General features: G+C 49.1%; 2 annotated features.

Annotated features, from left to right (window-relative positions):
- Window positions 12061-12562: an enhancer, noted in NCBI's record as "H3K4me1 hESC enhancer chr3:184183685-184184186 (GRCh37/hg19 assembly coordinates)". NCBI's record gives its function as "activates a minimal SCP1, AML or CMV promoter by ChIP-STARR-seq in primed H9 embryonic stem cells {active_cell/tissue: H9 hESC(primed)}" and the evidence as "EXISTENCE:reporter gene assay evidence [ECO:0000049][PMID:30033119]".
- Window positions 12563-13062: an enhancer, noted in NCBI's record as "H3K4me1 hESC enhancer chr3:184184187-184184686 (GRCh37/hg19 assembly coordinates)". NCBI's record gives its function as "activates a minimal SCP1, AML or CMV promoter by ChIP-STARR-seq in primed H9 embryonic stem cells {active_cell/tissue: H9 hESC(primed)}" and the evidence as "EXISTENCE:reporter gene assay evidence [ECO:0000049][PMID:30033119]".

Below are 15494 nucleotides of genomic sequence, written 5' to 3' on the forward strand. Positions count from 1 at the left end.
CACACACACACACACATATATTTTTTTGAGCGGAGTCTTGCTCTGTCGCCCAGGCTGGAGTGCAGTGGTGCTATCTCAGCTCACTGCAAGCTCTGCCTCCTGGGTTCAGGCCATTCTCCTGCCTCAGCCTCCCAAGTAGCTGGGACTACAGGCACCCGCCACTGCGCCTGGCTAATTTTTTGTATTTTTAATAGAGACAGGGTTTCACCATGTTAGCCAGGATGGTCTCGATCTCCTGACCTTGTGATCTGCCCTCCTCGGCCTTCCAAAGTGCTGGGATTACAGGCGTGAGCCACCGTGCCCAGCCATATATATATATATATTTGAGACAGGGTCTCCCTCTGTCAGCCAGGCTGGAGTGGAGTGCTGTGATCATAGCTCATTTCAACTGTGAACTGTGCACAGGTGATCCTCCTGCCTCAGCTTCTTGAGTAGCCAGGACTAGAGGCATGCACCACCGTGTCTGGCTAATTTTTAAAATTATTTGTAGAGATGGAAGTATACAGCTATGTTGCCCAAGCTGATCTCAAACTCTTGGCCTCAAGTGATTCTCCTACCTTGGCCTCCCAAAGTGCTGGGATTACGGATGTGAGCCACCATGTTTGGCCCTAAAATCTTTATGAGTCAGAGTTCTCCAGAGGAACAGAACCAATGGGAGACAGATAATAGATATATACATATGGAGGCTGAGAAGATCCACCATCTATCATTGCAAGCTAGAGATGTGGAAAAACTGGTGGTGTAGTTCCAGTCTCAGTCTGGAAGCCTGAGAAGCAGGAGAGCCAGCGGTGTGGGCTCCAGCACAAGTCTGAAAGCCTGAGAACAAGAGGGCTGATGGTGTACGTTCCAAACTGAGTCTGAAAGCCTGCGAACCAGGAGCACTGATGTGAGACCCAGTCTGAGGGCAGGGGAAGACCATTGTCCCAGCTCAAACAGTCAGGTTGAGAGTGAATTCTCCCTTCCTCCACCTTTTTGTTTTATTCAGGTCCTTGGCAGAGTGGATACTGTCCACTCACATTGGGAAGGGCCATCTGTGTACTCAGTCCATTGATTCAAACACTAATCTCCTCCTTAAGCCCCCTCATAGACACACCCAGAGATAATGTTTAACCAAATACCTGGGCACTCTGTGACCCAGTCAAATTGCTGTATAAAATTTACCATCATGGCGCGGTGGTTCACGCCTGTAATCCCAGCACTTTGGGAGGCCAAGGCAGGGCAGATCACGAGGTCAGGAGATCGAGACCATCCTGGCTAACATGGTGAAACCCCCTCTCTACTAAAAACACAAAAAATTAGCCAGGCATGGTGGCACGCACCTGTAGTCCCAGCTACTTGGGAGGCTGAGGCAGGAGAATAGCTTGAACTGGGGAGGCAGAGGTTGCAGTGAGCCAAGATTGTGCCACTGCACTCTGGCCTGGGAGACAGAGCGAGACTCCATCTCAAAAAAAAAAAAAAAAAAAAAAAAATTAACCATCACAACAAGTCTCAGCAGCCTTCATGTTAAATAGATCCTTCTGTGGGAGAGATGTCAGATGGCTCTAGATATATCTGAGTTTTCGCTCTAGAGAAGTCAGAAACTATACTGTATCTTACAGATATAGATATAGGGGATTTAAGGTTATGTAGTTGGGTTGATACCAGACATGATTTTTAAAATCCTTTTTCTTTCTTATTTAATTTATTTCTCACAACTCATGACCTAATCAAATATAGTTTCCATTTAAATTACAAATGACTTTTCATTAAAATTACAAAGCATATAATTTTTGCGCTAAATATAAAAACCTATCATTTTGAGCAGATTGCAAGGAACGCAAACATCCAGGGTCCTCAATGACCTTTCCTGCTGACCCTCTCAATTACTGCTGAATTGTTCATGGTTTGCACCAAGCTGGAGTTAATGTAACTATCTTACCCTTTCCATCCGACAGTGAAAGTGCTTAAAACCTTTCTGGGCCTTTAATTAGATTTGTCAACATACACACATGTTGCTGCAATTCTAATTATCCTAGAAAAACTAATACAAATCATGATAGCACTCCTATGTGCCAAGGCACTGTGCTAAGCACTTTACATATCTACTAACTCATTTAATTCTTCACAACACTCCCTTTGATCCCTCTTTTATAGATGAGCAAGTGAAGCACAAACCTGCCCAAATCATTGGTTAGCGGGGACCTCACCTGGGCTATTCTCTGCTAATTCTGGGGAAAGGTTTCCCATGCCTACCCTTCATGAGTTTCTGTATCCTTCCCCATCTGCAAGAAGAACATAGCTCCAAATATGCTACATCAGCTGGTGACTGTGTTTCAGTCACAATCTGGTTTTTTTTTTTCTGCCAACCTTTTCTTCTGAAAAATTCCTGATCCCATTTTAGAAGTGACCTGCCATGATGCCAACCACCTGGTGTCCTCTAGTGTGGGGACATCTGGCGCCTGGCTCACACCCAGAGGGAGTGAACCAAACCTTGGTGGGCTGCTAGGGGTGACACCCAGGCACATCCTTGGGGATCCTTGTCCCAGAAAAGGGCTCAGTCCAGGTTGGGCACCGTCAGGGGTCGTCAGGAAACAGCTGGGAGGATTTCATCAGATCCCCTCTTAGCACATGGTTGCAGCAGTTAATAATGAGAGGGAGAATTGGCTGGCCTGGAGGCCAGCAGAGTCTTCTGGAACTCTGGAGAGCCTCACCCCAAGGAACAGCCCAGTTTGGTCCATATGAAGGTCCTAGAAACCATAAGGTCTGCATTTGGAGCAGCAGTAGTAGAGGCAACGTTTTCTCTGAGCTCCTCCTGTCCTGAGAGGCAAGACCTGTCTTCCTACACCATGCCCCAGTCCCCGGCCCACTCACTGGGTCTTGGCTCTACCTTCTTGCTCCTTCTCTGTGCACTCCCTCACCCCCACTCCGTGCAGGGACCTGCCTGGAACAGACACTGGCTTTGAGTTCTTGACATCTAGTAAAGACAACCCATGAGCACGTAAAAGCCTCACAATACAGAGCAGGATTAATAAGAACAAAATGCAAAGCAAGTGGAGATCAAGGAGGAAGATATTCCCAGCTGGGGAGTCACAGCAGACCTCATAGAGGAGGGGGCGTTTGAATTGAACTGTGAAGGTCCAGACATTGCAAGAGGAGGGCCTGGTGTGGGAAATCACAAGAGGAGAATATGGTTCAGTGAGGCTGAAGCAAGGTGCACGATGAGTGGATGGCGCTGGACTGGCAGGTCTGGGCAACTTGGATAGGGCCTTAACTGTTGGACTACCCATCTCTATGGGGTTGCGAGCTCAAGCTCAGGGGTGAGAGATGGCCTGGACTGTTATCTCGTCTAATTTCTGTTACGTATAACAGAATACTTGAAACTGGGTAATTTATTTTAAAAAGGAATTTATTTCTTACAGTTATGAAGACTGAGAAGTCCAAGATCAAGGAGCCGGATCTGGCGAGAGCCTTCTTGTTGGTGGGGACTCTTTGCAGAGTCCTGAGGTGGCACAGGGCATCACATGGTGAGGGGCTGAGTGTGCTAGCTCAGGTGTCTCTTCCTCTTCTTATAAGGCCACCAGCCCCACTCCCATGATAACCCATGAATCCATTCATCCACAAATGGATTAATCCAGTCATAAGGGCAGAGCCTCATGACCCAGTCACTTCTTAAAGGCCCCACCTCTCAACACTGTCATTTGGAGATTAAGTTTCAACATGAGTTTAGGAGGGGATTAACATTCAAACCATAGCAGCAGGGACTGTAACAAGTGAGCTGTCTCCAGGGCCATGCCTGGCAGCCTCTATTGGGAGCCTATTTCTGTGCCCTCCCTTGCCGTGTGCATCAGGTGAATAGGGGTGAGGGATGTCTAATGTTGAAAGGGACCTGGGGTGGAGGAATAGATCACAGGTCAAGGGGAAGGGGAAATTGGAGGGGAGAAAGCATGTGTGTAGGTCTCTTCTGGGACCAGGTGAACAGCCAGCCAGATGCTCAAGTCAGAAACTAGGGCATCATCCTGGGCTCCTCCCTTCCTTCACTCCTGTATTAGTTTGTTTTCATGCTGCTAATAAAGACATACCTGAGACTGGGTAATTTATACAGAAAAGAGGTTTAATGGACTCACAGTTCCACATGGCTGGGGAGGCCTCACAATCATGGCGGAAGGCAAGGAGGAGCAAGTCACATCTTACATGGATGGCAGCAGGCAAAGAGAGAGCTTGTGCAGGGAAACTCCCCCTTATAAAACCATCGGATTTCATGAGACTTATTCACTATCACAAGAACAGCATGGGAAAGACCTGTCCCCATGATTCAATTACCTCCTACCGGGTCCCTCCCACAACATTCAAGAATTGTGGAAGCTACAATTCAAGATGAGATTTGGGGCCAGCGCAGTGGCTCACAGCCTGTAATCCCAGCACTTTGGGAGGCTGAGGCAGGTGGATCACCTGAGGTCAGGAGTTCGAGACCGGCCTGGCCAATGCTATCTCTACTAAAAATACAAAAATTAGCTAGGCATGGTGGTGCGTGCCTGTAATCCCAGCTACTCAGGAGGCTGAGGCATGAGAATCATTTGAACCTGGGAGGCAGATGTTGCAGTGAGCCAAGATTGTGCCACTCACTCCAGCCTGGGTGATGGAGCAAGACTCCATCTCAAAAAAAAAAATAAAAAGAAGATGAGATTTGGGTGGGGACACAGCCAAACCATATCAACCCCTCATGGTCAATTGCTCACTGTGTTCACCCAGTTCTACCTGCTATGGGGTTATTTGGACTTTCCTCTCCATTCCACCACCCCAACTTGGTTCTCTCCTGGACCATTGCAGCATCATCTTGACTCTTCCTCACTTCATCTCCTGGCTTTTCTCTTCCATAGAGAGGTCTTGTTAATATTCACATCTCATCATGTCATTTCCCTGATGAACATTCTTCAAGTTCCCTGTGTCAGCTGCAGGTGGAATCTGAACTTCTTTTTTTTTGAGACAGAATCTTGCTCTTGTTGCCCAGGCTGGAGTGCAATGGTGCAATCTTGGCTCACCGCAACCTCTGCCTCCCAGGTTCCAGCGATTCTCCTGCCTCAGCCTCCTGAGTACCTGGGATTATAGGCGTGCACCACCACACCTGGCTAATTTTTGTATTTTTTTAGTAGAGATGGGGTTTCTCCATATTGGTCAGGCTGGTCTCGAACTGCTGACCTCAGGTGATCCACCTGCCTCAGCCTCCCAAAGTGCTGGGATTACAGGCATGAGCCACCGTGCCCGGCCCAGAATCTGAACTTCTGTGGCCAGGCAGAAAAGGTCCTGTGTTACTCGTCTCCTTTATCATTCATGTCCATATTCTCCCATTTGCTAACATTTATGTTTCTGCTCCACTGGATTCTTTGGATTTTTCTAGAACATACCCATGCTTTGCATTGCCTTGGTCTTTGAATATTTGGTCCACTTTTCCTGCAAAGTCCCCTCTCACCTTATCTTCCTGGTAAACTTCCAGCCAACACCTCTTTACTAACCAGAGAAACATGGTTCAACTGTGCACAGGCTTGCACAGAAACTGTTCTCATATTGTCTTGTCATTGTCAATGTGGCAGAGATGCACCTTAGATACCTCTTTGAGAAAGGACTCACTGCCCAGCTGCCTGGCACGTGATGAGCTGATAGCTCCAGCTATAGACTCCTTTAGGGTCAACCTCTGCTTTCCAGTTGAGATCATATCCTTTGCAGGGTGGCCTCCCCAGTGATGACTAAGGCAGTGTTACAATGGCCTAGTCATTTCCTCCCAATGCTGGACTCCCAATGAACCATCTGCTCCGGAGCTTCCCACTGGGCAGTCAGAGACCTTAGCTAGTCTGCCTCCGAATCAGAGGGCTCTCTCTGCCCACTCTGGCTTCCGCCTCTTTCTTTTCACAAGTCCTACTCCCCAGTGAAAGTTTTGAATTCCTAACTCCATCTCAGCATCCATTTTGTTTTTTGTTTGTTTGTTTTTTTCCTTTTTTTTGTTGAGACGGAGTTTCACTTTTGTTGCCCAGACTGGAGTGCGGTGGTGCGATCTCCGCTTACTGCAACCTCTGCCTCCCAGGTTCAAGCGATTCTCCTGCCTCAGCCTCCTGAGTAGCTGGAATTACAAGCATGCACCACCATGCCTGGCTAATTTTTGTATTTTTAGTAGAGACGGGGTTTCACCACGTTGGCCAGGCTGATCTCGAACTCTGACCTCAGGTGATCCATCTGCCTCAGCCTCCCAAAGTGCTGGGATTACAGGTGTGAACCACTGCGCCTGGCTCTTTTTTTTTTTTTAGGATGGAGTTTCACTCTATTGCCCAGGCTGGAGTTCAATCTCGGCTCACCACAACCTCCACCTCCAGGGTTCAAGCAATTCTCCTGCCTCAGCCTCCCGAGTAGCTGGGATTACAGGTGCATGCCACCATGCCCAGCTAATTTTTGTATTTTTAGTAGAGATGGGGTTTCACCATGCTGGCCAGGCTGGTCCCGAACTCCTGACCTCGTGATCCACCCGCCTTGGCCTCTCATAGTGCTGGGATTACAGGTGTGACCCACCGTGCCGGGCCTATGGGTTTTCAATAGTGGTCCAAGAAAGTAGTTGGTAAGACGGGGTTTGGGGGCTGGATCACTCCACCACCAACTGGCAATGAGGCCACGCCCCAGGAGTTAAGTGAGCATGGAAAGTCCCCAGCACATGTTGGTGGCCCTATTGTTAAACATTTCACTGATGCTGACGTGGGAGAATGTACCAGTGAAGGGGAATGAACTGGCTTATGTGATAAGTCAGGCATTTGAAAGGTACACAGGGGAGAAAAACATTCTATACAATATGGATATTATATGATGTATAATATATATGAATATAGAATATATGAATTATAGATAGATACATGGAAATGAACAATTGCATTGGTGATCTACAGACACATAATGAAAAGCTGAGGGCAATTAACAAACAATTGAAAACTAAGTGTGAAAGCCAGAGGATTTCTTTGGCAGCTGATGAAGAATCCTTCATGTCCTCTGCTCGGTGAAGAAAAGGAACTGAAGATGAAGCCATGAGTTAATAGAGTGGCTGCACTCCAAAGATGGCTGAATGCTCTAGCGATTCAGATCTCTGGGACCCCGACACATGGGATGGGACCTCGAGGTGGGTGCCCCTGAACATTCTGAAGCCCTGAGCTTCTCTGGCTCTCAGAACCTGCAGAGGTGGCTCATCCCCTACACTTGAGAGTACTCCCTCCTCCTCTGTGTTGGGGGACAATGCAGAGGTCTTTTTTTTTTTTTTTTTTTTTTTGAGATGGAGTCTCACTCTGTCGCCTGGCTGGAGTGCAGTGGTGTGATCTCGGCTCACTGCAACCTCCGCCTCCTGGGTTCAAGCGATTCTCCTGCCTCAGTCTTCCTCAGTAGCTGGGACTACAGGCACGTGCCACCACGTCCAGCTAATTTTTGTATTTTTAATACAGGGTTTCACCATGTTGGTCAGGATGGTCTTGATCTCTTGAGCTTGTGATCCGCCCTCCTTGGCCTCCCAAAGCACTGGGATTACAGGCCTGAGCCATGGCACCCGGCCTGACAAGGCAGAGGTCTTTCCCCTACAAGGCAACAGGTGTCCCTAGGCAGCTGCCTTCACCTCATCCTCTGGCTGCTAGACTTAACTCCTGGGGTGTGGCCCTCATTGCCAGTGGGTAGCTAGACTTTACTACTGGGTTAAATCGTTGCGTAGTTTGCCTGGGGATATGCTAGTTGGATACAGGAGGAAAGGTGCTATATTCCAAAGGAGCTGTAAGATCTAGTCAACAGGTGCCAGCAGAGGCTGTGGGAGTACTTGTGGGCCTGGATTCTGAGAGCTTCATGGGACTGGAGAAGGGAGCTATAAGGCACAGGATTTAACCCCCTGGTAAGGACCCCAGGGAGGGTGCAAGATAACTGCTAGGGTGGTTCATTGAAGCCTGGACAAAGTGGCAGGTCAAGCTGAGTGAGGTTGAAATATCTGAATTGCCGGGGAAGAGGGCAGAGAAAGGGATCAAAAGCCTTGGGAAAGTGGGTGGGCATTTGGAATGGAGGCAGTATGTTAGGCAAAAGAGAATAGGATTCTATGGGGAGACAGGGGAACACACCATTTGCCACGGTCATGACTAGGTTGTTCAGTGTTGGCCCTCCCCTGCAGGCCAGGACTGATGCTGGGAGAGGCAGGCACAGAACTTGGTTTGCTGATTGTACTGGAGAGGATAGGGCTGGGGCAATAGAGAGCAGGGCGCAGCACTTAGCGGTCAGAAGACAGGGGTCAGAACAACTGTAGCAGCAGAGAAGGTCAGAGTGATAATTACAGAGGTTTGATGTTCAGACAGTTATGGAGATGGCTAAGAGAACACAGTGTCTCCAGTGGAAAAGTAGACAAGCAGCCCAAAGGGAACTGTTATGTATAGAAGTACAGTTGGCCCTCTGTATCCATAGATTCTGCATCTGTGGATTCAACCAATTGTGGGTGGAAAATATATATATATTTTAAATTTTGTGTGGCTGAGTGCAGTAGCTCACACCTGTAATCCCAGCACTTTGGGAGGCCGAGGCAGGAGGATTGCTGGAGACCAGGCATTCAAGATCAGCCTGGGCAACATGGTGAGACCCTGTTGCCACAAAAGATTGAAAACAAAAATTCATCTGCACCGAACATGTACAGACATTTTTTGTTCTTGTCATTATTCCCTTAAAAATACAGTATAACTACTATTTACATAGCATTTACATTATATTAGGTATTATAAGTACTCGGGATTATTTATTCAGGAGGATGTGTGTAGGTGTGTGCAAATACCGTGCCTTTTTTTTTTTCTTTTTTTGAAACAGAGTCTCACTCTGTCGCCCAGGCTAGAGTGTAGTGGCGTGATGTCAGCTCACTGCAACCTCCGCCTCCCAGGTTCCAGTGATTCTCCCGCCTCAGCCTCCCAAGTAACTGGGATTACAGGCGCCCACCACCACGCCCAGCTAATTTTTGTATTTTTAGTAGAGACGGGGTTTCACCATGTTGGCCAGGCTGGTCTCTAACTCCTGACCTCGAGATCCACCCACCTCGACCTCCCAAAGTGCTGGGATTACAGGCATGAGCCACCATGCCTGGCCAATACTGTGCCATTTTATTATCAGGGACTTGAGCATCCATGGATTTTGGCATCCATAGGGGTCCTGTAACCAATACTGCACAAATACCAAGGGACAACTGTATTCAAAAAAGACCAAAAATTAATAAGCAGGAGGCTGAGGGTAGTTGCCCCAATAAAGTCATGATCCCTTGCCCAGTGTCTGAACCTCAGCCAGTTTTCAGACTCAGGACCTATTGGCTGCAGAGGTGGTTGGAACCATAGGAGAATCCTGCAATATCATGGCAAGTATGCACTTTAATGATATCTGCAGTCCTTCCCCAAAAGGACCTTACATTTACCATAGTGCTATGTCCTGGGTAAGAGGGTAATACTCAGATTTTTTTTTTTTTTTTTTTTAGACAACGTCTTACTGTGTTGCCCAGGCTGGAGTGCAGTGGCGCGATCTTGGCTTACTGCAACCTCCATCTCCTGGGTTCAAGTGATTCTCCCACCTCAGCCTCTGGAGTAGCTGGGATTACAGGTGAGCACCACCACACCTGGCTAATTTTTGTATTTTTATTAGAGATGGGGTTTCACCATGTTGGCCAGGGTGGTCTTGAACTCCTGACCTCAAGTGATCCACCTACCTCTGCCTACCTAAGTCCTGGGATTACAGGCATGTGTCACCACGCCCAGCCAAGATAATATTCAGATATTTCAAGGACAGTTGGACACAGAGTCTGAGTTGATGTTGCTGTCCAGAGGCCTGAAGTGTTATCATGGTGCCTCTGTTAGTTTAGAGCATATGGAGTCCTGGCCAAAAACTCTGCTTACAGGGGGGTTATGATGTTCATAGACTCATCTGATGGCCTGTGGAACAGAGATTGACAAACTTGGTAGTTGGGGTAACCTCCACATTGGAACCTTTGCCTATAGGTTAAGTGCCATGAGAGCGGTAAAGCCCAGACACAATCCTCTGAAACTGCCACTGACCAGCCAGAATAAAAACACAAAACAGTAAAAAAACAGTATATCAAAAACAGTATCTATCACATTCTGAGGGGAAAGGTGGAAATGAATGCCATACTTAAGAATCTGAAGGCTGCAGAGATGCTGGTCCTCATCTTATCTTCACATAATCAACAGTCTGGCCCCTGTTCGTCGTAGTGATAAGTGAGCCCCATTTGGGTACCAAGACCTCTGACTTTGTGGAGCCCAGAGGTGCAGGGATGGGAAGCACGAGTTCACCCAGGGGGTCATTGGGAGTGATGGCAAATGAGCCACTCTTACTTTTTTTCTTAAGAAACTCACAGTCTACACTCCTGCTTTTTAACTCCTTTGTTCCTAGGTCCATCTGTTCTTCCTACTGAGGTTGTAGCAACATATAAAGGTTTCTGATCCAGTTAGCATTCTGTGCCCTGGAGGATGGTGCCTCCAAGCCAGCACTCCAACTGTGCCACCAACAAGTCATTCCAAAGAGCTAGCATGCCGGCAGCTTCTGATGGTGTGGCAGGTGAGACCACCAGTGATCTCATGATCATGGCCTTACTTTGCTGTAAAGGGAATTCCCTGGTCAGATGCTGCATTAACTACACGTCCTCATCTTTTGTATTCTTGGTGTTCTGGCATTTGGGATCTTGATCCTGCCTCTCTCAGGGCTAGCTAACTCCTAGAAATAGCAAACAACCTCCCTGCAAGCACGTCCTTGATAGGAAAACCAACCAATCCAAGTCCACATCCCCAACCGTGTCCTTTATCAAATTCTCATATATCAAGCCAATATTCCCCCGCCCTAAATCACCCCAGGGCCGTGTACCAAACAATTGGGGATCACTCTTTTTTTTTTTTTTTTTTTCAGACAGCGTCTTCCTCTTTTGCCCAGGCTGGAGTGCAGTGATGCGATCTCAGCTCACTGCAAGCTCCGCCTCCCGGGTTCACGTCATTCTCCTGCCTCAGCCTCCCGAGTAGCTGGGACTACAGGCGTCCGCCACCACGCCCAGCTAATTTTTTGTATTTTTAGTAGAGACAGGGTTTCACCGTGTTAGCCAGGATGGTTTCGATCTCCTGACCTCGTGATCCGCCCGCCTCGGCCTCCCAAAGTGCTGGGATTACAGGCGTGAGCCACCGCGCCCGGCAGGGATCACTCTTTATAGCCCAGGGCCTGCCAAAACGATTTCATCTCTCCAATCCTGGACTCAGCATACCTACCCTGCCTTGTCTGCTACTCTCCATGAGAACCCCCATAGAGGCTCCGGGCTGCGCTCTGCCCTCACCTCTCTTTTGCCTCCTGATCAATCCCAGTCCTTCTTCACGTGGCCGTGCATGGTGTGCTGTGCCTCCTGTTTCCAGGATCTGTGAGGATAGACTTCCTTCTTCATTACAGTCATTTCCACGTCTGCATATTTGGCCATATCTGGTTAATACGAATCCTGGGTACATTTGCATAACAGATGCTCTGTTGTGTGGGATGACATGCCTGTGAATCAGGCATTCCATAAGCCTTTGGATAGCAGTGCTGGTTGAGACCTTATGGGAAAGAAAGGCAAACTTATACCCAGAATAGATGTCTATTCTCGTGAGAAAAAACTGCTGACCTTCTAGGATAGAAGGGTTCCAGTGAAGACAACTTGCCACCATGTGGCTGGTTGGTCTCTTTAAGAAGTAGTGCCATACCACAGGCTTAGCATGGATCTCTGTGCTGGCAGATTGGACATGCAGAGGCAGCAAGAGCTGGACTGACCTTGTTAAGTGGGAATTCATGGTGTTGGGCCCATACATAGCCTCGGTCATTGCCCATTGTGCTGGGACCGGGGTAGGCACTGACAAAGGCTGGCTACTGTCAACTGGCTGAGTCATTTTGTCCACTGAAGGCCTGGCCACTTCCATGGTGGATGCTTTCTTGGACCACTCCCAGTTCCAAATGTTTGGTTGAGCTCTTTAGAAAGCAGGTGTGAGACAGAGTTAGGCAGCAGACATTTGATTGAGGAGTAACACCTGTGAAGAAAAGGAGTAAAGCAAGATTGGGCGAGGGGAGGCTCAGATGGCCATGCAAATAAGACAAAATCTCTGCCAGCCCAGTGGGGCGGCTCCAGGCAAAGACTGGTAAAGGCTAGGCCCTTGGACTGCCACTGTGCTCAGTTATGGGCTGGGGCTTGCTCCCAAAATAGGGTGACCTTGGCTCCAACACTGAGGCAGATCCTGACAAAGCCAACAGCTGGAGGCTGCCTGCCAACCACACTCCTTGCAGCTGGGCAGCACATCTTTCCTCAAAGGAGGGTCTGGACAGGACATTTTCCTTGTTACCAGGGGCTCAGACTCATCAAGAATGAGGGCTAGGGTCACCCCACAGCTAGACCATGAGGGCCGACAGAGGTGGGAGCTGAGGGCAGGGCAATTTAGAAGGAATAGCGGAGGGAGCCAAGCACCAGTGGTGGCCCTGAGGCCAGTAGCAGTGAATGAGGTCTCTATTTCATGCTCGTAACTTCCCTCTTGTACAGAGGCCCCCCAGATCCCTGGGGGAGCTGCTCCCCACATGTGTCCACATTACCGTGACATGTGGACTGTGGCAGACATGGGGCTGCTCTGCTCCATTCTCCTTTGAGAAAGTATTGCTGCCCAGCCGCGAGGAGTGTGATGAGTTGACAGCCTCAGCGTCTGGGCTGGTGTTCAAGGTCAGCTGCAGCTTTTGAGCTGAGATCATGCTCTTCGAGGGGTGGCCCCAGCCAGAGACTGAGCTTGATGATAAGGGCCTGGCTGCTTCTGCCCTGTGAACGACTCTTCTAACAGAAAGTCTTGGACACCTTTGTTCCAGGGCTCCCCTGGGGCCGGCCAAGCTTTGTCACATCTGCACTGTGGTCTGGCAGCTCCCTGCCCCACCCACCTTTCCTTCCCTTTCCTCTCAGAGGCGTTGCTTACCAATGAGGCGTGGGTATTCCTGACTCTGTCTCAGCCTCTGCTTCTCAGAGAACTCCGCTGACACAGTCTGCATGGCACAGTCCTCTCTGATCTCGGAGGACACCTGTCTTTTTTTTTTTTTGAGACTGAGTCTCGCTCTGTCTCCCAGGCTAGAGTGCAGGGGCGTGATCTCGGCTCACTGCAACCTCCACCTCCCGGTTTCAAGCGATTCTCCTGCCTCAGCTTCCTGAGTAGCTAGGATTACAGGCACGCACCACCATGCCCGGCTACTTTTTGTATTTTTAGTAGAGACGGGGTTTCACCATGTTGGTCAGATTGGTCTTGAACTCCTGACCTTGTGATCCACCTGCCTCAGCTTCCCAAAGTGCTGGGATTACAGGCGTGAGCTACCGCACCCAGCCAGACACCTGTCTTAACAGCACGTGTTTCCTACATGTTTGTGGTCTGACCTACTGACCAGCTGAACGCCCAGCTCAGCTGGGTGTGAGTATGTTCTCTAGAGTATGGGACCAGAATTCCGAGTACGTTCTCTAGAGTATGGGACCTGCGGGCCACTGGGTGGGAAATAAACAGGAGACGCCCAGGCCCCAGCAGCCAGAGGGTTTTCTTGTGAGTTTGTGATTCTCAGGGACAGCTTTTTGGCTGGAGGACTTTGGCTGTCAGGTGTGGACTCTGCCGTGTGGACTCCATGTGGGCCTGGTTGTCTCCACACCACATCCTCCCCTGCTTCCCTAAGGGTCAGATGAAGAAAGAGAGACTTCTAGACTAGGTTCCAGGGACTGAGACAGCAAGTGGTCACAGAGCCCAGCACCTCCAAAACAGGAGCTGCACTCGGAGAGCAGCTGGTGCCCCCAGAGACCAACAGCAAGGGGCAGTGTTTCAAGGAGTGTTGGGGGCCGAAGAGCCCTTCCTGGGTCACTCTTCCATTAAGACTGAAAGTAGGGGACTGGGCGCAGTGGCTGATGCCTGTAATCCCAGCACTTTGGGAGGTCAAGGCGGGTGGATCACCTGAGGTCAGGAGTTCGAGACCAGCCTGGCCAACATGATGAAACCCCATCTCTATGAAAAATATGAAAATTAGCTAGGCACGGTGGCACGTGCCTGTAATCCCAGCTACTCAGGAGGCTGAGACAGTAGAATCACTTGAACCCGGGGGGCAGAGGTTGCAGTGAGCTGAGATCACCCCATTGCACTCCAGCCTGGAGAACAAGCGTGAAACTCCTTCTCAAAAAAAAAAAAAAAAAAAGACTGAAAGTAGGGAGGGCAGGGATGGGCCCTTTTATCAGTGGCCTTTATGGTTACAGAGGGGGCTCCAGGGAGAAGACTAAACAACCTTCCTCAGCCTCCGCAGCCTCCGCAGGCAAAGCATAGACACCCTTTCCCAGCAAGAGGAGTGAGGCTCACTCCCAGTGACCTGCATCCTACTTGGCCGTTGATTTTGTGTGTGTGTGGAGTCGGGGGGGGTCTCATTATGTTGCCCAGGCTGGTCTCGAACCCCTGGCATCAAACAATCCTCCCACCTCAGCCTCTTGAAGTGTTGGGATTACAGCAGGAGCCACCATGCCCAGTAATTTTTGTCACTTGTTCTATTAGGGGAAATCATGTGAAACCGCTATTTTTATAAGTTGAAAAAACAGTGAAATACTGCCAATTTTGTATATGCTTAATATATAGAGCTGAATTTAAGTTAGGAATAGGTATTCCCAGTTTAGGGTATCTATTTATGAACCTTTCCCGTAGCCGCCATTCCTGGAGCGCCTCCTACAGGTCAGCCACCAAACAGAGCACTTACCATGTGTGTCTGATTGTATTCTCACAGCAGCCCGGAGTATGCACAATTATTATCCCCATTTTACAGGTGAAGAAAGAGAGGCACAGAGAGACCAGGAACACACAGCTAGTGAGTGACAGAGGTGGGACGTAGACCTACATCTCTCTGAACTGTGAACCTGTGTCTCTGACCCTGGTGCACGCTGCTCTCCCAGGGTCCTCTGTGTAGCCTCCCGGGGACGGAGCGGGGAGTGAGCACTGGAATTTGGGTTAAAGAACCTATTCAGGGCTGGGTGCGGTGGCTCACGCCTGTAATCCCAGCACTTTGGGAGGCCGAGGCAGGTGGATCACCCGAGGTCAGGAGTTCAAGACCAGCCTGGCCAACATTGTGAAACCCCATCTCTACTAAAAATACAAAAATTAGCTGGGCGTGTTGGCAGGCACCTGTAATCCCAGCTACTTGGGAGGCTGAGACAAGAGAATCGCCTGAACCCAGGAGGCAGAGGTTGTAGTGAGCCGAGAGCTGAGATCACACCACTGCACTCCAGCCTGGGAGACAGAGCGAGACTCTGTCTCAAAAAAAAAAAGAAAGAAAGAAAGAAAGAAAACCTATTCAGAGAGCTCTGGACCAAGTGGCCCCTATGTGACAATCAGGGTCAAAGATAGACTTTTTGGCGTCTAAAGCGGATATAATTTGTGGGACCCTCTTTAGGAAAGATGATATGAAAAATCTTAGTTTTGCAAATT

Source organism: Homo sapiens, chromosome 3 (genome assembly GCF_000001405.40).
Source record: "Homo sapiens chromosome 3, GRCh38.p14 Primary Assembly".
Lineage (NCBI taxonomy): Eukaryota > Metazoa > Chordata > Mammalia > Primates > Hominidae > Homo > Homo sapiens.